General features: G+C 38.4%; 2 long non-coding RNA genes across 2 annotated transcripts in view; one reads left to right on the top strand and one right to left on the bottom strand.

The window, feature by feature from the left end:
- LOC105374690 (uncharacterized) overlaps window positions 1–24,974 on the top strand; it is a 231,734-nt gene that overhangs the window by 64,215 nt on the left and 142,545 nt on the right. The gene's annotated exons all lie outside the window — the stretch shown is intronic.
- The window catches only part of MIR217HG (MIR217 host gene), an 83,921-nt gene that overhangs the window by 46,633 nt on the left and 12,314 nt on the right, over window positions 1–24,974 (bottom strand). The window contains exon 2 of the long non-coding RNA NR_126406.1: window positions 3,571–3,673. This is a non-coding gene — a long non-coding RNA (MIR217 host gene). The remainder of the gene's footprint in view (window positions 1–3,570; window positions 3,674–24,974) is intronic.

Below are 24,974 nucleotides of genomic sequence, written 5' to 3' on the forward strand. Positions count from 1 at the left end.
CTTGGCTGGAGGCTGAATGTAGTTACTATATGAAGAATAACAAATTCATGTATTGGAATATGGAAAGCGCTTCCATTGTAATAATTTGGTTTAAAATAAAATTGTCTATCTTGCCATAAATGCTGGCTAAAAGAAAATGAAAACATTCCCTTAAGTTAATATTGAACTTTATCTGCAGACATCCCTGAAAAAATGCAGACCTGATCAAATCACTTGACTGTACTCTACTTGAAACACTTGGACTTTGGTCAAATAAGCATTTGCCACTTGATTTGTACAGCATTACAACAAAAGTGCAACTCAAGTCTTCTCTTGAGCCTGATTTGCAAGGTTCTTTCTGGTAAGCGTTCTTCATGGGTTTGCAAACATGCACCTACTTATAAATTAGATCAGTGGCATTCAAATACTCTTCTCCAGGAACTCAGAATTTAAAAAAAAAAAATTTTAAACATTTATTTAAAAAATATTTTTCCTTTGTTTCCTTGGATCCAATTCAATCACTACACCCAGAATTAGGGTTATGCTCTGAAAGCGAACACAAAAAAATCATAACCTAAACTCATAACCATAGAACCAAAAGAGCTAGTAAAATTATTTATAATAAGGCTACTTATGTACAGTCCGTGCTTCTAGAGATACAATGAAGTGATGCATTTTTACTGTGAAGAGGAAAACATTAATTCAGGCTCACCCTTCTTGTTTCTCTTAGTGGCAGGGTGAAAGGGGAGGGGGTCACATAACCCTAATTATTTGAATATATATTAAAGAGCACTGTTTGCAACTCTCTACTTCGCTTTTGTTGAGGTAGGCATAGCTCAGGGACCTCTGAAGGAGAAACATTTTACCTCACACACTCCTGTTGGTACCATGTCATTGTATTCTTTCTTTTTAGATTCATTAGAGGAGTAAAAACGATATTTTTTATATCAAGGAATAATTTGAATACAATGAAATGAGAATCAGAAAATTAGTCATTATCAAAATTTGTAGACTTAAGCATATATTTGAAAATTTTAAATTATTTTCTTGTCTTGAAGTAGGTAAAATAACCAAGTCATAAAGTATTAGATAACAATTCACGTGGAATGAGGGATGCTGAACATAACAGGCCATAGAACACTCAATTCAGTCTCTCCTTTCACAGACGAAACATTAAGCCCAGAAGGGCAGTTGTCTTGTTCAAGGTCCTGCAGCTAGCAGGTGACAGAGCTGTTTTCTCTGGCTCTTATTCAAAAGTGCCCTTTTGCTCAGGTCATGCTCTGTGCAGTGGTCAAGGAGATCTTCCCTAAGGGTACTTGGCTGTGGCTCCATGAATACGGATTCTGTAATTTCTTTCCTCCTCCAAATGAATAAACTCTGGCCCCATTTCCCAGATTTGCATTCCAGTGACTTACTTGGTGAGTGACTTTGGACTAGTTAACCAACCTCTCTGTGCTTGTTTTCACTTCTACAAAATGAGGGTAATAATAGTGCATATCTCAGAAAGTTAAGATCAGTGCTGTGTGTGGCACAGTGCCCGGAACATAGAAAGCTCTCAATAAGTGTTATCTATTATTTTTATTATTGTAATTTTCTGCCTACTTTTCTGAAGTATTTTCTCCGGTATGTCTTAATTTACTCTGCAGCATGTAGTAATCACATTCTGAAACGACTGAAGGTTGTACACCCATGTGCATAGCAGCCTTATTGACAGCAGCCAAAAGGTAGACGCAATCCAAGTGTCAAATGACAGATGAATGGATAAGCAGAATGTGGTGCATATACATACAATGGAATATTACTCAGCCTTAAAAAGGAAGGAAATTCTGACACATGCTACATTAATGCACTTTGAAAACATTATGCTAAGTGAAATAAGCCAGCACAAAAAGACAGATACTGTAATGATTCCATTTATATGTAAGGTACCTAGACTACTCAAATTCATAAAGACAGAAAGTAGAATGGTGTTTCCCAAGGGCCTGGAAGAGACGGGAATGGGGGAGTGTTGTTTATGAGTACAGAGTTTTCATTTTGTAAGATCAAAACAGTTCTGGAGATTAGCTGCACAATAATGTGAATGTACTTAACACTACTGAACTGTACATTTAAAAATGATTAAGATGATAAATTTTATGTTATGTGTATTTTACTACAGTTAAAAACAACGACAAAATGATTGAAGGGCTTAGTGCACTTAGAACATATTAGTTATATTAGTTAGTCGTGGATATTTTGACTTCTGGGTCCCAGAGCTCTGGGCCAGTGCTGTGGATTAGAACCAGAAAGGATTTGGTTGGAGACTAAGTATGGTATGTGATCATAGTGCTCAAACATTGTATCTGTTTTAGTTCTGTTTCCTTCCTTCAGGATTGCTGATTTCCTGCCAGAGATGGACTTAATTTCCAGAGCCTTATAGTTTATGAACTTGGATGAAAATACAGAAGCACATTTTCCCTATAGACACATGAAGAAACCCCTCAGAGACTCTTCAAAAAATGCAAACACATAAAAAGCAAATTTGATTCAGCAAGTTTACCATTAACAAAACCTCCTTTGGGGGCAGGGATGGTGTAGTGATAGTATAGGCTGTTAGAAAGAAGCTTAGAAACTGCCCTATTGAACAAAGCAAGCTAAAGGCAGAGAGATAAAATGGGAGAAGAAAACTGCTTTTTAGTTTAGAATTTTTTTTGAAATTTCTGTTTAATTATCATTATTATCTACAGAGATGATTAAAAGCATCAAACATTTCCAGGATAAAACCCAAGCACAAATGGAAAAGGATTTATGCTAAATTGGCATTTGATAATTTCTTACAATAATCTGACGTAAAAGTTGTCTCCCTTTTATTTCAATTCAAGAATTCCTTTCATCTTTTACTCAATAGTCATTATCCTTTTTATTTCAATTCAATAACATTTACTGAATATCTAATATGTAGTATAGGCCCTGTGTCTCAGAAAAAACACTGGGTTAGGGTTTTTAAAATAAGTTTTAAAAGAAAGTAAATATTTTAAAGCCTAAATTTTTTTTAAGTTTAATGTTCAAAATACTGAACTGTACTAAAAATCACAATAAATCGCCATTCTTCCAAATAACGTTCCCTTTATGATTATGGGATTTATATAAACTAAATATTTGCAGAAGAAATTTCTTCAACTATATTGTAGGGAGAATGTCATCTTTTCAGATATGCTGGTTGGGAATAATCACTACACTAGTGGAAATGTTTGCACAAGCCAGCATTGAAAAGAGACGAGATTTCCCTTTATCAGCTTCTCAAAAATGACAACTAAAATTCTTAGTTTTGGGACAGGACAAAGGTCTAAGTCTGTCATTTTTTAAATGCCACATTTTTGAAATAACAATCAGGTGTTTCACTTTAAGTGTATTAAATTTAAGTGTATTAATATTTAATATAAATATTGAAATATAATTAGTTTATTCAGAAGCAAAACCCCAATCCTAATTTCAGCATATCTTAATAGAAAGCCTGGGTTTATGAATCCACAAGCTTTTTATTAAAATCCCAAGAGGTCAATAACAATCTTGTAATCACAAAATATGCATACAGGAGAACATCAGACTTACCAAGAAATATAGCTGTAACAGTGCATGACAAAAGGCACATTTTGGAGACATGATTCAATTTCCTGTTTTTCAGCATCAGGTACTTTATCTGACCATCTGAAGGCTTTAGAAATAGGTAAAAAAAAATGGGAGAGTTTTTAATATTAAGAGCTATGAAAGGTGAAAAACAGGCCCTGACAAACACATCTAAACAGATCCATGTATTTCATAACAGAAACAGTTCCATTTTCATTCTCAATATTTCTAGTTGAATAATTATCCACTATCCCAAGGATTCTTAATAAAAAAAATTTTACCCTTTTGAGAGGAAGACAGCAATGAGTTCATTTTGAAAGGTTCACATTTAGCTTTTAGCCAAAAGTGAACCTTTGGTGTCTTTTGAATCCTTTTTAAGTCTTGAAGCCTTAGAGAGAAACCAAAGAGAAAGAGATCAGATCGCGGCCTACCTCTTTCAGCCCTTGAGAATTCCCTTTCCAAGTAGTTTCTTAAATAGTGAGGCTGCATCAGAACCCCTAGTTCTTCTCCTTAGAAGTTATTAAATCAGCAGAAAGGCCGACAATAATGGCAAATGAAATCTAAGTTTTGTATAGGAAACAGACAGGCAGTCTACACTTTGTTATTCACTTGATAGACAGAGCCATTTTGACAGCCCTAACCTTGGAAACCACAGGTCCTGCTGAGCTCAGCAGGAGTCAAACGCTGAGTACCATCTGTCAAAGCTTTATTTTCCCCCCTCCTCATCCACGCCTTTACTATAAGATGCTAACAAGAGCCCTGAATGAAAGTAGCTAACTACAGTTAAACTCGTGTGCATTGTAACACTAATGTTGGGGTAAGAAACTCACTCCCAGAATCTACCAAATTTGAGTGAACAGAATTGCGTATTCTATGTCTTTTCTTAATGGTTATCAACGTTGAAAAAGTGTGGGTTGAGAAACTCCGTAACCACACTCCAAACAACTAATCCTCCAAAATAAGGAAATTGCACATCATCTTGTATGTTTTTGCCAATTCTGTAGCTAAAATAAATGGTTTGGAAAGTTCTCAACTCTAAGGCCTTTTTTTTTCTTAATGTAGTTTAATTAAACATGTGCAAGAACAACAAATTAATTTCTTTCTAAAAAATAGAGATTTTGATGAGTTGAACTTGTGCTTTATAAAATAAATCTCATTCAGAACAAACACTCTTTCCCTTTCTCCCTGGCATAAGCAATTCTAAAACATTAACAGGCCTGATAATAATAAAATCAATTAAATCAAGTGTGGTATAGCTCATGCGGCACTTGTGTAGAAGACAGTATATCAATTGAAACATGAAGGAGCTCACAAAGGCATTCCTTTCCACTACCAAAATGCTACATATTTTTTAAAGTACAAATTCATTTTGTTTGCATTTAAAAGTTATATATATTTAATGAAAAAATTTAGATACAATTTAAAAATCATTAATTTGGAATACCATTTTTAGCACACAGTTCCTTAAAAAATGTAGAGAACATTTCCATAAACACAAATTAAAAAAAGTAGCTTAGAATTAAAATGCTGAAAAAAGCTGAGATCTTTTTAGCAGAATTATTCCTAATTTTAATGTTTAGTTATTCTACTTGAAATAGTAATGTTTCTTTTTCCCAATTCTCCAAAATGCTGAAAATAGTTATAAAATATTGCTTCATGAGAATAATACTATATGTATGTACTAGATATACTGTATTATAGCAAGTAATGGTTTATCGTTTAGTAGTTAATTACATTGTCAAGAAGACACTGTGAAGAAGTATTATTAAATTAATTATTCATACGAGTGTGTACTTTTTTTTTACATTTTGCTGAATGTTCCATGTGTGCAGATTTTGCAGGGATTTGAGAGACCTTGTGTATAAACACCTGAAATGCTTTATGTGAAATAGTTTTTATAAATCGCACGTCCAGAAGGTGATTTTGCTATTTAAAGTGACCAGGTGCTGATTTATTTGCAATGTGAAAACTAGCTAACTCGTAAGTTACAGTTTCTAATATCACAAGGTTGAATTTTGTCCATCAGTTTTGCAAGACAACTTCAGCTGTATATATGCATGAATGCATCTGAAAGAGGTCTCAATAGGTACTATTTGAGTTGGGGCTTTGCTCCTTCTCCTAGTTTTCCTCATCTGCCCTTCAGCCCAGAAGCGGCTGAGGAAGGAAGCTGCCTTTGCTGGCAGACAGGGTCCCTGATTGGTAAACACTTCTTCCACCAGTGTGCTTATGCCCGAAATCCTTTCTTAAGGGGGCAGGACACAACTTTCACTGCATTGAGAGAAGATTCAAAGAAAGGCAAATGCCCCAGGGAGAGGGAACACGTGGATCTAAATTAATCTTGCTGACAGTTATTCTGAAAGCAAAGAGAAGCAAAGGAGAGCAGGAGGGGAGGCACCTCCAGATGGAGAAGGGGCGAAGACAGGGAGGCAAAGTTGGTCTTCCTTAAGGTTTTACCTAAGGAGGGCTGCTTGAAGTGTCCATGCATAGCCTTGCTTTGCATAATGCCTGTGTAGACTTTCTTGATTGTCATTGTTATGCTTTTGATTTTCACAATCTCAGAATCTCAGAGTTGGGGTAATGTTAAGGGTCAGTTAGTCCAACCCTTCCTTACAGAGATGAAGAAACAGACCCAGATAAGCCTACTCTGTGGTTTATCTAAATCCTGATTTTTTTTTAAGCCCCGTCTTTTTGTCTGTAAAATACAGGTGATGATATTACAGACAGCAGAGGATTTAATGAGCAATGTTGAAGCCTTTAGTACAAGTCCTGAGCATAGAGCAAGTGGTCAATAATTGTTCATTTTTGTTAACATCATCCATGGAGTTCAGAGCCAGATTTAGTGACAATTTATAGTAACTGTATTAGGTCTCATGGTTACTAATTTGTTTTCATTTCCTGTTCATAAATTTTTTCTTGTAAGGAGCTAATAGAAACAATTAACAACTACTGAAAATTTATAAAACAATTACCTATATTCTACTTATCTTGATAAAATATGATGCATTTTGCAAATATTTTTCTTTTTTTCTAGATACGTACCTTTGTTTACATAGTTGGAATCATAATGTACTACAATTTTATACCCTGCTTTTCCTTTTGACATCATACCAGAATTTTTCATGTGGCTACCAATTCTTGGTAAATATCATTTTAAATGATTAAATGTTCCATAATTTAATTAGCCATATCCTGATGACAGAGTTTGTTGGTTGCTTTCAGTTTTTCTGTTATAAATAATATTCTGGTGGCCATTTTAGTACATATAACATTTTCTTCTTTGGGCGTGTTTTTTTAGGTTACATTTTCAGAAATTAGATTACAAATTAGATTAGAACTTATATATTTTTGTAGTATTTGCTACTTACTGCTAAATCATGGCCCCACTTTTCTATTTTTATTTAATTAACCTTATTTTATAAATGTCCTTTAAAAAATTATTATTATTTTGTAGTTACAGGATCTGGCTATATAGACCAGGGTGGTCTCAAACTCTTCGCTTCAGGCAATTCTCCCGCCTCAGCCTCCCAAAGTGTTGGGATTATAGGCATGAGTTACAGTGTCTGGCCTAATGTCTTTGGGCTTCTAATCTGTTTTTTTATAGATGCGATTGTTTTCAAAGTCATAGGGATGAGTAATGGCAGACCCAAGACTTGAAGCCCTCTTTTTACTACACCATAATAATAATGCGAACGGGAAAAACTTCCCAACGTTAAGATGTGGAGGAATCATCCATTCCTCTGCATTCCTTTGCTGAGGTAGCAGAAACTGCAGAAGTCTAGGGTTGGGAGTTCTGAGTTCGAGTCCTGCTACCACTAATAATGAACTATAACATAGATTCATTGATTCTTGCCCATATTTCCTGGAGAGTCTGAGGTTTAAAGAAGGCACCAAAGTGCTCTTGAAACAGTGTAAATCTGCACTGGAGAAGGGCATTGTCTCACTCTCTGAATCCTGAGCACTGAGTTGCTCTAAGAAGCTGTAGCACAGAGCTTCTTAGACATGATCTTGTTACATTCTGGATCTCTTTAAATTCTGTTTCAATAGGTTTGGGGTGGGCCTGAGATGTTGCATTTTTAAAAAGCTCCCAAGTAATCCTGATGATGATGCTGGTACAGGGACCATGCTTTTAGAAGTAGCCACCCTGAGTATCAGTGGTTGTTGAGTTGCATGGATGACTGTCCCCATGGTACAGAGCACCCTTAATCACAGAGCAATTTTAATCAGTGGATAAAGGATGGGGATTAATAGTAGTCAGCCAGATGCTCCCAAAGTGGTGTCTATTATGCAGGAGTATACAAATATTGTGACCTGTTTGTGGAGGAAGTATTATGTGATCTGTTTCCTCTTTGATGCTAGAGATCCTCTGAACCTAGGAATGTCCCTTTTCCTGAGATGTGGGAGGAAGTGGAAAGCAGCCACCTGGAATAATAGAGTAATATGGAAAAGTACTGGCCTTTTATTATCATTTCCCTTATCTGAACACAAACCCAGGAGTGACTTTTTCCATTCTTATTTTATATTATCAGAGATTCCAACCAAGGTCCCTTAAAAGCTGACCAAGAAAATTTGGCAGAAGCACCTTAGAAGCCATAATGCTTTGTGGCAAATCTTTCCAAACATCTGCTGCATGAAAAGGAGCAAAAATCCTGCAATGGCGAAGGGCAAGAGGGCAACTTGGAAGTGGGCTATCTTGGCACAGCTCTGTGGAGGCCCTTTCTCTGAGCACAGGCGTACCCAGGAGGCCCCAGCACCTGTTCTTACATATTCCTGCTGGCTTCTGTTGTTTGCAATTGCCGTCAAAAGCGTCCCAGGAGACGGTCGGGACAAGCCTTGTCAGGGAACAAGAAAAGCTGGGAGTGTGGCGGTTGGTCTCACAAATGTGAGGATGTACACCATCCCAGTAGGGACTCTCATTTCCCCTTTCACATCACCACACACCTGATGGCAAAAGGAAATCTTTTGAGTTTAGGAACTGTGGCAGAGAACAGTCTTTTGAAACTCCGGTGACATCAATAGCCTAGTTTCATTATTCTAAAACTGAAATGCCACGAGTGGGATTTGGAACACAATCATTAGGTCCTCTGGAGTTATTGTCTAGAGAGGTGGATGGTACATTTTAAGAAAGAAAGAATCCTAGGTTAGTAGTAGAAGAAAAGTAGTTTATGTGTTAGGACTTAGCTTTGAAAGCCTAGCTTTCAAGGAAATAGTCAAAGAGAGAATGTGATAAATGTCCTTTAATTTTTGCTCTGAAGATATCCTTGATAGAGCTGCTGCATATAGTTACTTCAGCTTGATAGGACAAGTGGTTCTGTCCTTAATTGTCACCATAAGCTTGGATTTTAGGATGCTTGAACAGTTTTTAATATAACAAAGACATGGCTTTTAACATTTTTTTGTATTGTCTTATTATAAGCAGAAGAGAAGAAGGATTCTTTTGTCTCTTGTTTATTGGTCATCAAAGCCTCAGTTTAAAATTTAAAAGTCAGAAAATAGCTTCTGAAATACAGAGAACTACTTTTCAGGGAATGTTTAGCCTGCAGATCTTATGTGACTAAAACTTAATACAATAAAAGGTGCATTTGTAATATGCCAAAAAGATAGCGTTTGCAATTAAAAATCTCTGTCTTTCTTTAGCATGAACACTCCTTCTTCCTAACAGCTTTAGCACAAAATGAAATTACAGTCTGGGTTTCGGAATAAACTTATTTATCAAAGACATAATCACTATTCTGGTCCTGAGTTATCTTCACTCAAAAAATATTAATATTATTGACCAAATTGAGTTTTGATTGTGATAAAAAATGTCTGAGCCACTTTTTGAAGCTCTTAAAAATTTAAATTGCAGAAAAACAATAATCCAAGCTGTCTGTCTTTGAAATGGTCTTCCTCTTTTGACCAAGTATAATAATTAGGTTTTGTCTAAAATGATATTTATTATTTTAGTCCATTTAAGGTTCTTTGTATAGTATAACGTAGAATAATCTCTTCCGTAGATTTTTTTTTTTTTTTTAGAAAATGATAAAATGATGTTTTTAACATTAACTTCAGGTCATTTGGCTACCAAATAAATCATTATTTTCCTTTGTGGTTTTTAATTCTGTTGGATTCCTTATTACAATTATGGTCTTTTAATGTAAATTGCGAGTATATGATTTTACAATGGCTACTAATTGTTAAACTAAAGGAACAAGAGTTTAAAAAGTGTTTTTCAAAACATTATGCTTCACAAGTAAAGAAATCTGATTTTCAAAATGGCTAGTTTAAGCTGTTGTAGAATGTTGGAAAAGATCTATAATGCAAAATTCAGAAAAAGGATATCTGGTCACCTTCTCTCAACCAAGACAGCTGAAAATGCTTAGGATTAAAGCTGTCAACCTAAGGGCAGATGTATTTTCATTCACTTACACATAGAGGAATGCCTTCTGCCAGAGGAAATTCTACTAAGCGTTTTGTAAGCCCTCTTAATGAAGGACATTGCCTGCTTTGGCTATTTAGTGGGTAGACATCTTTGCAAGCTTGGTTCTTACTCTGATATTCTTACTCAGTAGTGAATGGGGGAACTCTCCAAGCTTAGGATGGTTAGAGGCATTGTCAGAGGAAAGGTAAAATTGCTGTTCTCATAAAGGGGACATAAATTGCAAGCTTTTCTTTCAACCCTTCAGTGTCCTACTCACCCTTTTCAAACTCAGTAGTGGGATACTGACTCCAAAGAGGAACACTATCACTTCAGGGAAGGAACTGGGGCTGTGGGATTGTGAACTATCCCCTTTTATCCAGTTTGTCCATATGTAGGAGCATCAGAGAGACTGCTAGATAGAAGCCCACCTCTAGGGGAGAGGTGCCTTTGGTGCTGAATGTTAGCAAAGAAACATCTCTACATGGATATCCAGACAACTTTCAAATGAGCTTTTAAATTCCATTTTGGAGGGGCTCTGAAAAGAAAGAAATCTTTCTCTGGAGAAAAAAATTGCCCAAAGATAAACTCCAGTGCAAACTGAACAAACCAAATTTAGTTTTTTTTAGGTAAAAGTAAAAATAACTGACCGGGCATGGTGGCTCACGCCTGTAATCCCAGCACTTTGGGAGGCCAAGGAGGGCGGATCACGAGGTCAGGAGATGGAAACCATCCTGGCTAACACGGTGAAACCCCGTGTCTACTAAAAATACAAGAAATTAGCCGGGCGTGGTGGCAGGCGTCTGTAGTCCCAGCTACTCGGAAGGCTGAGGCAGGAGAATGGCATGAACCCAGGAGGCGGAGCTTGCAGTGAGCCGAGATCGTGCCACTGCACTCCAGCCTGGGTGACAGAGCGAGACTCTGTCTCAAAAACAAAAAAAAAACACAAAAAAACAAAAGTAAAAATAACTGTAACATTGCATTTCATAAACTTGTAGTTTTTAACATTCTGAAAGCATACATATTCATTTGTAAGCTCATGTAGTAATTGACTTTACAGAAATCTTGAAACGTGTTCTGTCAGAGTAAAATGCTGTTTCATTGTATTTATTTAGCTTATAGAATGGACTTCTCTTACACTATATCCTTTCTGCATATTGTTTATTTGTATATGCTTTATGGGGTTAAGCACTTCTGGTACATTTTTCACGTCAGACAACCTACGGAAGCTAGTAGAAGTATGGCACGATTAAGTTTATAGGTCATGAGATAAATTTACACGGAGAGGCAAGTTTCCAGCTTCAAGCAAATGACTTATCTGTAATTTGATGCAAGTAAAATGACTGACCTTTCAAATGTTTGTTGGGCTTCAAGTGTCCAGAGCAATCGATATGTACATTATTGTTTATATTTTATGCTCCTGATCCCATTAATGTATGCCTATGGAATGCTGGGACACCATTAGTTTCTGATACTTCTGAAGTATTGGGTGGCATTTATCAAACAGAAAGGCAGCACATATTGACTCGTGACAGTTTTTGCATTTCTTGAGCTCAATGTTTCATGAGCTGCTTATTCAGTTTTGGTGAGCAAGGCTTTTATTGCTCCAAAGCCGCCTCAATTAAATAATAATGAACCAATTTGTTTAAAATGAATCTTTAACTTGCAGACTGATTAATTTCTCCATTGTGAGCATGAGAAGTTGTGTTCTTAGGCAGGAGAGATCAGAGAAGTGCGGTGGAGTGGAATAATTGCTGGGTGTGTGTAAATTGTAAGAATGACTGGCGCTGTCTGTAACTGTGTGACTACAGACAGGTCTCTAAGTATTCCTGAACCTCTGGTTCCTGGTTCCCCAGCTGTAAAAGGGGGTCAGGTGGACCAGATAGTCATCAAGATCCCTTTCAGCTTGGACAGTCAATGGATAATGGAATATCGATAGACAGACACACGAGCAACATGCAGCCCTACCAGTAAGTGCAAGACTGAGAAGTGGGGAAATCCTTTGGCCACTTTACCCCCCACTTCAGAGAAAGATTTAAGGGAAATTTGTATTCTTTCCTATTTGCCTAGAGTATATTGGACTTATTCTGGGTCTCTGGGAGAAAGATATTTGGGAAGTAGGCATGCGCACGCGCGCGCACACACACACACACACACACACACACACACACTACACATAGGCCACTCTCTTTCTCTACTTTACTCCTTCCCATTCCACACACCTAATCCTCATCCCACACAAAGGTGCTTAAATTAAAAAGTGCCACTTGTTATAGGGGTGGAACAGGAACTCAGTTCTTCACTGAAGAGACAGGAAACAGTTACTCACTTCTGTATTAATTAACTCTCCCTTTCTAGGGTTTTATTATTGGAGAGTCTAATGACTTAAAATTAATCATCCACGGTCCAATTAAAAATCATGAATTGATGAATTGCTTTCTAAATTCTCTGTTTTATTGACAAATTGCTGCATCATTGAAGCTATAAGACATGTCATCCATTATTAACTTTGATGGCATTAAAACAGATAAATTAAATCTTTTAAGCAGAAATGAGTTCTCACAAAGACTGCTCTTCCCAAGTGCACACGGTCTCAATTTTCTCTGAATTTCAGCCCACTTATTTGAGTCTATTCTTGTTTCACTTAGATTGTATTGATTGTTTAGTAAACATTAACTGATGATAGAGGCTTCTTAATATGAGCAGATAATAGATAATCAATGTGTAATGCAACTTAAGTGATAAAATACTTTTGCCAGGAATATACAATCTGCCATAAGGGCTGGAAATGCCTGCATTAAAAAAAATTAAAACATACAATGAAAATTTTAGAAAGGAAACCTGTCTCTTCAATGTATGAAAAGTTAAATTTACTCTCAAGACAATGACAATAGATAGCAAATATATAAAAAATGCTATTTCCAAGGCACATTAAAGATATAAACATATGTATTTAGAAATAAGTGTTCTTTAAACACTTATGGTTTGCATTAGGATAAGGGTAAAAGGCAATAATAAAAATATTATTAAAATACATTCAAAATTTGAACTCAATAATTGACTTATTACAGAGGCAAAACATTCTTACCTTGGCTTTTGCAAAATTCCTTATTCTTACTATTATTTACTTCTTCAACTGAAAACAACCTTTTGTTTCATAATCAGAATCTTATTTTTCTAACATCGTAAGTATGAATTTACTGTTTACAGCTTCAGTATCTGCTGTGTAACACATGGTATGCTGGGGGTAAAAAGGACTTACACAAGTTTTTAATAGTTCAAATTAGACCCGCCTTTTATCCCACAATCCCTTTTGTGTGTCTCATTATTGATCAGAGTTGTGCTGTTCTTTGAACCCTGGGAATTACCAGGATAGGGTTTTATTTGACTGTTTGTCTCTTTAGCAAAATTGTTGCCAACTTTGACCTTTCAAAAATGTTTGTGACAAGGTGTTTGCTGTTAATTGCACACAGGAAGGAGTGAAAAGCCTCCCAGTTGAATCTCATATTTACCAGAAGAGGAGATTTCTTTTTTGGTAAAATCTGAGTCTTAAGAGGAGACAGGTTTTGGTTGTTGTTTGTACTTTAACATAGCAATGTAGCTTGAGAAGGTTACTATTTTCTAATTAGCAGACCCATTAACAGGATAAAGAAAGAAAGGATATGGCTTTATATAAAGTATGTTGTAGCTCCACTGGCCTAGATCCATTTTTCACCTCTAGTGGAAATTCAGTTCAATAGAGATACAAAATTGCAGGATTGGAAAGGGCCTTAAAGATCATATAATCATATCAACAGATGCAGAAGAAGCTCTTAATTAATGCCAGACTCTGTTCTATACACGTATAGAAAGCACTTATTAATTCATTTAACCCTTAGAGCAACCTTATGAGGCATGTACATTTTATTATTATTTCAATTTCCCTTTCTTTCACAGACAAGGGAATTGAGGCACAAGGAGGTGATGCAATCACCTACAGCTAATTACTGTCAGAGTAAGGAAATGAACCCAGGTGGTCTGTCCCCAGTAGACAGTCTCCTTTTTCCTTCATAGTCTGCTTCCTGGTTACTGTGCCTATTTGATTTTCTTTGTAGCATTTTTTTGCTAGTTGAAATGATCCAACTCATTTTCTTCCCCTCACTTATTATCTGCCTATCTCCCCTCTGCCACATTAGACTCTAAGGTCCAGGAGAGCAGGGACTTTTGCTCACTGCCATTTCCACTCAGGTCTGGAGTAATGGTGCATGCAGTGGTTTCTTAATAAAAATTCAGTGAATGAATGAATGAATTTGAGAAAACGCAGTAGGGACAGTGAGAATGGAAGAGGCTGTTGGGTTGGAGGATGGCTCCCTAGTGAATGTGGTGGGAGAATCTTCTTACCAGCCTGACTGATGAGAGTGGGAATAAGGGAATGGGGGCATCAAGAGTGGGCTCAGTTTTCAAGAAGGTTGACAGTAAGGAAAGCAGGGGCAGGAGAAATAGCAATTAAGGTTTTATGCTTTCGTCAGAAAACCTAACAGGAACCTTCCTCTTTTGCAATGGAAGAATGCCCCCTTGCTCCTCTTTAACGATTATTATTATGTGAAGACCCATCTCTGGCTCATTTTCTCATCGATTTGATCTGCTTAAACACCGAAGTAATGGTTTGACCACAGAATTATCATCTGCCGTTATGCATTTCACCCGGGGTGCACTCCTGGGTAGTAATTTCCCAGGATCATCCTTGGGGGAGCAGGCCTTCCCTTGTCAATATCTGTGGAGTCAGAAAGCCTATAAAGTACCAGCAAATTGGCTTTGGATCCCAGGAAACACGTCCTCTGTCCTTTTCTACACAGTCTTTGAAGTTGCCTATAGCATTATAATTTCTTTTCCTGGACATTACACCAGGATAGAGAACATAGAAAGAAAGAGTGAGTGTGTCGACATGGGTGGCGCTGAACCACCCCATTGTGGTCTGTGTCCTGCGAGGCCAACCAGAAACATTTCCATGACATAGTTCTGGTTCTTGATGTGTGCAGTAAGCAGCCCCTCACATCCCAATAGCATTTCCTACCATCCAAAGGAAGGTAATACAGAAATTTCACATTTAAAAGTTAAACCCCTTTAAGGTGGTTTTGGTTAGCTCTCCCTACGGTTTCTCTAATTAGGTGCTTGTATGAAATCGCAGTGGAAGGAACATCTTGTTTTTACAGAGACTCTCTATTTTGAAGCCAGATACTGCTACTATTTCAAGGAAGAAAATACCGCCCTCTTTTAAAATATAGCAAAACATGTTGTCTCTTTCTCAGCATCAATTACAAATCAAGATTCTCTTCTGAATTCTTTTTGTAATCTGTGTTCTCTTGTTCATAATTTAGAAATGTTAATAATTCAAGTAGGACTCTACTTGAATTGATAATACTGACTAGTATTATCAACCAGACAATAAATATTAAGATTTAAAGTGCACGTTTTGTACCATGACATTACTTGGCCCAGTGTTTCTCAAAGGAGGTGCTTTAAGTATTTGGGGGACAGGCAAATCTTCCCTGTGAGGAGCTTTCCCAGACATTGCAGGATGTTGAGCTTCCTTGGTTCTGGGTCACAACTTCCAGTAGTACCTGCCAGTTATTGAATGACTCAAAGCATCCTCATGTGTTTGCAATAGACCTGTAAGGGAAGGTAGTATTTCCCTTGGCCGTGACCTGGCTCAGGGATCATAAACACAAATGCTTATGATGCCAGAGGCCAGCCAGATAACATAAATTTGTTAACCTGCCTCAGTGTAAGGGAATTCAGAATAGTATGCCCTATGCTTGCTGGAAAAATGTGCATGACTTGTTTGGAGGCATTGAAGATCAAAGTTGTAATAAACACTATGCTGGTCAGCAAAATTCTCCTTTCTGCCAAATTTGGCTCCCCAGCCATCAGGCTTCCACCCCAGACTAGCTCCTGTCTATCAGTCCAGCCCATCTATCCACTCTCCACTTTGTACACAAAGATTTAGCTACACTGACTCAGCACATAGGAGGCTTGACTTAAATACTAGTTGAATAAATGAATAAATGAAAATTATTCTAGGCCTTTAACCAACTTATGAGAAGTTTATAAGAGGAGCATTGATGATTAAAATTTCCCCCTAGGCCACACCTGCTGTGGGTTTTTAGGTGGCATCCTGGATTTCTTCTAAGTCCTCTCCTGGCATATGAATCGAGGCTTATCTTTTGTTTCCTGCATCTGTTCCATTTGTCCAATAGTGCACTGGTTTTGATGCATAATAGGTGTAATTTAAACCTCAGATTGTAAAAACTTACCTCACAAACTCTCCTCACTGTGCTTTGCCCAGTAGTGTGCTGCTTTCTCAGAAATGTCATGGAGCAGTGGCCTGAGATTCCTTTATACTAGCAATGTGCTCTACTTCTTCTAGTTCTTGGCAGGGGACAAGGAATTGCTCCCACCCCAGGCTGATCTGGCCTTATTGGTACTAGAAAGTGATTTTAGTGGAACTAAGAACTCCTCCCATTTCAAAGTAAAGACTTCTCCGAATATCCCCTAAATTCTTTCTCCCTTTCTTCCTTCTCTCTCTCAAGTATTTTAACCTATTCCCCTGGGTTGGAACTCTCCATGAAAAATACATTTTGCTGATTTTTCACCCTCTTCTTGTGATCTTATTTGGCCATATAACCCCCAAGCAGAGCAGGAAACATGGCATTCAAAGGTAACAGAGTAAACTTCTCCTCCGTACTCAGGGGCTTAAGCAACTCGGTTTCCAGAAGTTTATGTAGAAAATCTTTTTACTAATGGGTCAAAGATTCCCAGATGCTCACAACATACCATTTTTTCCCTTGATATTATTATTTCATGAGACTGTTTTAAACATAAAGAAATGTTGTTAATTCACACATCATTTTTTCTCCTTTCCCTTGCACAGTCTGCGTGTATTGGTTTGGTTGGTTTTGAAGCAGAACACACACTTGACCAGCCATTTGGTTTCCCACAGCCAATATGCACATGTCCAGGGTGTTCCCCTGTGATTTTCAAGGCCTGGTTTTCTTCTGATAAGGTCAGAAGCACACACAGCTTATCCACATCTGCTGTGTTCCTTGAGGTCAATCAGAATATTTTTCCTTCTGGGACTAATGGGAATCTCCCAGAGAGAAACAATTATTGCACGTGAAAAATCTATTGATTTACATTGCATGGTTCACCTATTATTTAGGGTTCAGGGACACTTTTTGAAACTGGGAGAGCAATTCAGGGGATTCAGAATGAGAAGATACTAGTGAATACATTCATGCCATACATTTCTGAGTATTTGCTGCTACTGCTATTAGAAGTGCAGAATGCTGAATTCAGTTGCCACAAGTTGTCAAGAATGTAAGTCATCCAGCATTACTGACTTCATTGGTTGAATTATAAATCCACGATAATAGTGTTGGGCACAATCACAGATTAAAAAACGGTGAACGGAATTGTGAGTGTTCCCATTTGTGTGATTTCCCACTTCTCTTTTTCTTTGCTTTAAATGTGAGGCCCATTTTCTATGGCTCCTGATGCTGATTTGGATGGAAACAAGGAGCAGATGACTCCATGTTGCAGAAGGCAAGAGCACTGGGTTTCCAGTTATAGGGATTTACTTCTCATGTGGTCCATGTTGAAATTTTCAAAAGAAATGTGGGACCATGACAATATACTATGTGTTGTCATCTGGATCCAGGAATCAAACAAATAGTTAAAAGCCTTCAATAAACTATCTACCCTTTGGCTCTTTGTTTCAATGTATTTTTGTCACAGAATATTTTTTCCACAGTTGCAAGCCAATTAACTGGACTCCTAGTCGCTTACCCTCCTTTAGGAATTAGACGACCTGCGTCTAAATCCCAGTCTCAACCCTTATCAGCTGTCTGTCTCTTTGTTCTGGGTTTATACCCATGGAATATGAAAGATACTAAGCATCTCATGATTATCTTGTGAAAAATAAATTAAACTCACAAAATATCTAGTATAATTGACACTCCACATTAAACAAACAGTCAAATTTGTATTTTTACATTCTGGAGAGTCTAATACGTAATGAAGTAACTTAAACACTGAATAAGATGCTGAATTATAATTTTCTTAGGAAAGTATTTGGATGCAATTTTTTTTTTTTTTTTTTAAGACGGAGTTTCGCTCTGTCGCCCAGGCTGGAGTGCAGTGGCACGATCTTGGCTCACTGCAAGCTCCACCTCCCGTGTTCATGCCATTCTCCTGCCTCAGCCTCCCGAGTACCTGGGACCACAGACGCCCGCCGCCATGCCCAGCTAATTTTTTTTTGTATTTTTTGGTAGAGATGGGGTTTCACTGTGTTAGCCAGAATGGTCTTGATCTCCTGACCTCGTGATCTGCCCGCCTCGGCCTCCCAAAGTGATGGGATTACAGGTGTGAGCCACCGTGCCCGGCCAGCTTTTTTAAAAATAGAGAGATTTTCTGCAGGCTTAAGAGATGGAAACTTGTAAGTTGTTATTCCTTTTGGGTATAGGACTAAGGCAATTCTCTAAAGATTTTGTACTGGGGTCTTTATTTCAGTGCCCTTATACTTTTACATCCACTGAGGCAGTCAATAGAAAATGCATTAATTGGTAGCCTTAGTCTTATCATCCGTGAAACTGGGTTAGTAATTGTGACGATATCATAGGATTTGGTGATGACTGGATGAGATAAAATATATAAGGAGCTTTGCATGGTGCCTGCCACAAACTAAGCATTCAATAAATAGTCAATTAATAATATTATCATTATTTATAAAGATCCTATCACAGAAGTTGCTACATTTCCATAGGGAGATTGTAAAGGATGGAACATATTATATCCAAGCTCATTCTAGCTATACTATATACACTTCTGTAATTTTGATAAATCTAAGATAGTAGAACAGTATTGAAGACTCCATTTTTGACTTGGATAATTCTGAATGGCATTTCTCATATAGGAAAATTCACATTTTAAAATCTCAAAATGGTAAAAAGCCCCAAGACAAACACTAAGTAGCATCCAGCTATTTCTCCTTTCAAATGGGTATAATTTTATGACAACATCTTTTTCAGCTGCAGAGACCTTCAAATCTGTTTTAGAGTTATTCTGTTTTTTCCCTAGAAAAATAATAAACACAAACGGTTATAAATGAATCAGTATGATTTTTTTCCTCCCGATTAGAGAGCATGATGGCCTCAGTTGCTTGCAAGGCAAAAGTGCTGATGCAGGAAGGCCTAATTGATTGGAACAATATACGGTCTGGCTTAATGCTTTAGGTCAAATCCTTGGAAAATTATACATTCTTTACGCAAAATTAATTGTGTTGCAAGCATCTTTCCCATCAAATGCCATTTTTTTTTCTTTTGCCCATTTGGCACCAACTTTGACTTGTAGGGATGAGTCATGGGTAGCATTGTCACATAGATTCAGATGCTGTTTGTGGGCAGGAATTAAGTTATGAGTATTATTCTCCTTGTTATTTTTACATTTTGTCAATGTCTCCTTTTGCCATTAGAACAGCTCACCATTTCTCTTTCTTCTGTTTTGGGAGTCTGCAGGTTGTGGTTTGGTCCTATTGTGGGATAGGTTTTTTCCTCTCTGGCTGACAGACATTCTCATCATGTGCTTGGGCTCCCTGGTGGATGGGTATTAGGCTTATGCTCAGCCTGGTCTTACAGTGCCATGGCCCTCAGAGAGGCTAGAGATACCTTCACTCGAAGTGGCATACTTCCCGTTATATGCTCTCCCCTGTAGTTTCTTGTCCTTGCACCTTACTGCCCTCGGTTGGGCTGTTTAGATGTGGCTGAGTGAGGAGCAGGCCCTTTGCGCCTCCCTTTTTCCTCTGAAGCGCTCAGAGTCTAGGCCAGTTCATTGTTGATGCGCTGGCAGGTGGGGGCTTTCTGGCCTAGAATTGACAAGTAGGTGGATGTGAGGATTGAGGGAGATGGGGGACTTTGAACATGACTCACAGGTTTATAGATTGGGCCAGTGGTTGGCTAGGGCTGGTGATAACTAAGATAAAGAATGGGAAGTAGTTTTGGTTGGATAAATGGTAAGTCTAGTTTTGGAGGTGAGTTGGCTCTGCCTTCAGAGCATCCTTCAGGTGGAGATGCACGTGTGGGCTTTTGTGAATGAGCATCTGCAGCTCAGCATCTGTCAGGCTTAGGAGAATGGAGGCTCAAAGGGAGGCTCTGCTCCTTAAAGCCACTTTTAAAATTGCAGTGCTGAATACATCTGGCTCCCCAAAACTGCTGATGTTGTTGAATATACCAGATGTCTCAGAATTTTGAAGAGCAGGAATCAGGGTAATGCATTCCTAAACTCAGCAGCACGTCTGCGTATTACAACCATATGTAGAAGAAAGGTGCCTGCAGGATGGAAGTCTCCGAAATGCAAAGCAGGGTAGGTGAGCCTGAGTCATTTCACGTATGGGGCTGGCATGAGGCACTCAGAGTGGTTTGTGCAATTCCCTTCAACCCCTTTCACTCAACTCAAGCTTAAATACAACACAATATATTAATATTAATTAAACTATAGAGTTAGTTATCCTAATTGCCATCAACATACATTTATCAGAATTCTCCTATTTTGGGGTTTACTCAGGTTTGTCACTATTCTCGGTTACCACCGAAGTCTAGTTGTGAAGGTTTAAGAGTGATTTTCTCTGAAAATCTCATTCCCTTACATCAAACATTGTGTGGCAAAGTGAATATTTTGCTGTTGGTTAGTGTGATAGCAAAAAATTTTGAAAGGAACTTTTAAAAACCAATTTTCCATATGTGTCTTTATTTTTAGCCTTCATCTTTAGGGCATGGACCTTGGGATTTTATTTTCTCTGTAAAACTTTCTACCATCCCTCTGGCTAAAAGAGGGAAAAGCTAAAACCCACATATTTAGAGGTGTGTACAGACTGGGTTAGGGGCTCTTGATCATGAGCCTGAGAATTGGGAACACTGCGGTGAACTCTCTGGGACATTCAAGAATAAGAGAAAAATGCTGAAGGAATCTAGCAATGCTGGCATTGCATAGAAAACATTTTTTGAAAACAAATGTGCTAGGAGGGGCTTTGAGAAATCCTCTTGGGGCTTCCTTTCTTTGGCAGCTGAAGCAGTATTGTCCTCATTGTACAGCCGAGGAACTGAATCCTGGAGAGCTTCAGAGAGAGCTTTGGTGACTTGGCTAACATGCAGCACGGAAAATGAAGTGGAGGCTAATGGAACACGAATGTTGGTCCACCGTTCTCACCACCACCTTACTCTGCCACCAATAGAAGGCCATTGTCAGCAAAAGGAGAACATGAGCTTCCTTAGCTCTCTCTAGAGTTTGAAACTCCTGGAGGTTGAGCACCCATGACATTTCAGAAGGACTTCATTTTTCGGACTTGTGGCCCCATATCAAGCCCAGCAGAGACACAGCAGTGGACACTGGTTAAGAACTCAGCACTGAGTCAGATAGTCCAGCGTTAAATGCCTCCTCTGCTACCTACCGGTTTTATGACCTTGGGCAAGATACTTAATGTCTCTAACACTCAGTTTATTTATCTGAAAAGTGGGGACAGTATGACTATTTGATTTTGTTGTCAAGATTAAATGTGTGATCATCCCTGTAAACCACACAGCCCATGACGTCTAGAAGCATCGACCACTGTGGTTGTTGTCAGCTCACCACCCAAGGGTGGTGAAAGTGAGTGCTTACTCACACTCATTTGACTTGTGTCTCACAATATTGAACACGCTCACGCACATCTCAGGCCTTTTTGCTCTGTGTTTTCCTTTACACATCCCAAGCCGTTGCTAACACTTTACACAATGTGAAGAAAGCAAAGCCCCTTTCCTTTGTCTCTTCACCTTCTATTTCTTTCACCTTCTCTGCCCCTCTTTGGAGACACTGAGTGAGGAGATCCTCGCATTCGCACTTGTGTCTCTGGCACTGCCCACTCTGCCTATTCAGGCTCCCACTCCCTGGACCCTTTACTTTCTTTTCAGCCAATCAAAATTTACCCTTTGCTGCCTTGTACCCAGAGCGTATAGATTCCTGGTCTGCAGGTTGCATCCAACCTCAGAAGTATTTTCTTTGACTGGCACAATGTTTAATTTTTTTAAAAAAATTATTAGTTACTTAGTTTTAAACATCAGGAAATTTCATACACACACACACTGAGAAATGGTGTGTGTCTTTGCGCCCTACCTTTCCTAATGGCAGCCACTAGCTGAATAGCAGCTGTCCTCTCCAGACGGGCATGTGCTGCTCCAGTTCACCATAATCCTCACCCATCACGCCTTGTACCAGGCTGCCATATTATTTGCATTCCTGTCTGGACCCTATAATCATTTACTTTTGTGACCTAACAAATTTAAATCCCAAAAGGTAGTAATTGGTGGAGTGGCTTAATGTAGCCTGTGACTTTCTCACATTCCCCATATATTAAGCATTAGCGTACATTAACTGCCTTTTTCATGCTGGGTTAAGGCGACGAACAGACATTTCAAGCCAACTCACAGTAGTACTGTTTGCCAGTGTAGACATGGGAGTATTACTATCTTTTCGTATGTCAGTATTTGGGTAATGTTTGAATCTGTATCTGACTTTTGCTTTTTCTACTTCAAATGTTATAAAAATGAATGGAGGTGAGAAAGGTGCTAATACCAGTGTTATAAAGTTTGATGTCACTCAATGCAATATTTGCTAGTCTCGTTCAGTCATTCACTGGGATTTAAGCTGGAAACTTAAAGAGTATGTGTCAAATGCAGGAAACAAATCATCAAAGGCCAGGTCCATAAGAGGAAGTGTATTTTCTAACATTTTAGCTTTCTCAGAATGGAACTGCTCTTAGAATGTATCAGCCTATCGTTCCATTTTTCCATCTTCAAATCTGATAAAGTTTTCAGGAATATTATATGCATATAAAATGTTCTGCCTGTATTTTTGTTGGCTTGTTTATTTTTCAGAGTACTCTTAGAGACACGAAGCCTTACCCAAAGAGAAGAGATTTCACTGGTAGATTTCATTAGGTCTGATGCAGGCCATTGGGGTAGATTATTGGGGAATATATCCTAAGCACCTAGCAGGTGTCAGGTTCTCTTGAGCTGTCACAGCGGTCCTGTGAAGTAGGTTTTGTCCCTGTTCAGTGAGGCAGCGTGGTGTCTCAGTCTGCCTAGGTCTGTTTTTTTGGCGTCTCTGCTGACTTGCTCTGGGGCCTTGGGCAGGTAACTTAACTTTTTTTTTTTTTGAGCCAGGGTCTCACTCTGTCGCCCAGGCTGGAGTGCAGTGACATGATCTTGGCTCACTACAACCTCCGCCTCCCAGGTTCAGGTGAATCTCATGCCTCAGCCTCCTAAGTAGCTGAGATTAAAAACGTGCACCACCATGTCTTGCTGATTTTTGTATTTTTAGTAGAGACAGGGTTTCCCCATGTTGGCCAGGCTGATCTCAAACTCCTGGCCTCATGTGATCTGCCCGCCTCGGCCTCCCAAAGTGCTGGGATTATGGGCGTGAGCCATCGCACCCCGCCGTAACTAAACTTTTATAAGCATTAGTTTTGTCATCTGTAAGATGGTTTATGGTAATACATAAAATAATAAGTGTTAGCAATTCCTGGCACAAAATAAGTACTCAGTATATGTTGGCTGTTGTTATTTAGAGTAAGGTCCTGAAATCCTTCCATTTCAGATAGCTGACTACTCTTCTTCCAGGCTTAGCCTACCAAAGGCAGAGGTGGTTACTCTCTGTTGTGGGTGGGGGGTGGGGGGACCTCCTCACTTCATAGATTAACTGTAGAAATTACTTGGAACTGGAGATCAGCTTTTTGCCACTCTGGTTCTGTCCTTGGTCCCTCCCTTTCTCACCTGACCTTTTGCACAGCTTGGCTTCCTGTCTACTGCTTCTTCCTTGCTTAAATGAAGTTAATATCCCCCTCTGATACCCTTCTCCACAGTAGCCTACATGTTATTTCCCCATAAAGCTCAAATGATTTCATTGAACTTTATGATGCCTGTGAAAGATGTGGATGATTATCCTCAGTCTGGCCAGCAGTTTTAATTAGAGGGACTGTGAAGTGTGCTGTTAATTAAACGAGTTATTTTTAGACATACGTGTTCATTAGTCCTCTGGAACACCTCTTCCTTCAGATTTTTAAAAATACAGGTTAATTTATGGTGTGGATAGGAGTCATTAACTCTTTAACTTCATCTTGTCTAGCAAAATCCCTCCTTTGGTTTCTCTGTTGCTAGAGAACCAGAGTGAAGGCAAGGTGGACGTGGCAGCTGGAGAGCAAAGCTGCCTTTCTTCCCGTTGTGCATGCTCTACAGTGACACCTCCCAAAGACAGTTTGAAGCTGCAGAGATTTGCTCCAAAATACTCTAATATTAACTACTTTTGAGCTTCAAGATGGAATTCAGCCCTAAGAGCTATTGAGTCCTTTTAAACACACAGAGCTATGCTGTCATCATGAAATGATTCACCCTTCAGTTTGCATTCTGGCAAACTTACCCCCGGGGCTGTCTCTAATGTCTTATAGATTGGATCAAATTGAACTTCAAACATTTTTATAAAATTTGAGGCAAGAATATACCAATTAAACATATGTATGTTATTGTATGTATATGAGCCATATGTATTCAAAAAATACATGAATCTTCAAAAGATACATGCTGTATGATTCCATTTTACATACTTCTTGATTCCATTTATAGAACATTCTCAAAATGACAAAATTATAGAAATGGAGACAAGATCAGTGGTTGTCAGGTGTTAGGGACATGGCGTGACTATAAAGGGGTAAACGGGTAATTATTTGTAGTGATGGGTCAGTTCTGTATCTTGATTGTGATAGCTACATGATAGGTACATGAATCTTTACATGTGACCAAATTTCACAGAACTAAACACAAACACACACAAAGAAAGACAGAAAGGAAAAGCAATCACAGCAAGATATTTATGTATTATGACATGTATTAGGTCAACTATGCATAAATACAGCAAACAAAATAGAAAGTAAATA

This window comes from Homo sapiens, chromosome 2 (assembly GCF_000001405.40).
Source record: "Homo sapiens chromosome 2, GRCh38.p14 Primary Assembly".
Lineage (NCBI taxonomy): Eukaryota > Metazoa > Chordata > Mammalia > Primates > Hominidae > Homo > Homo sapiens.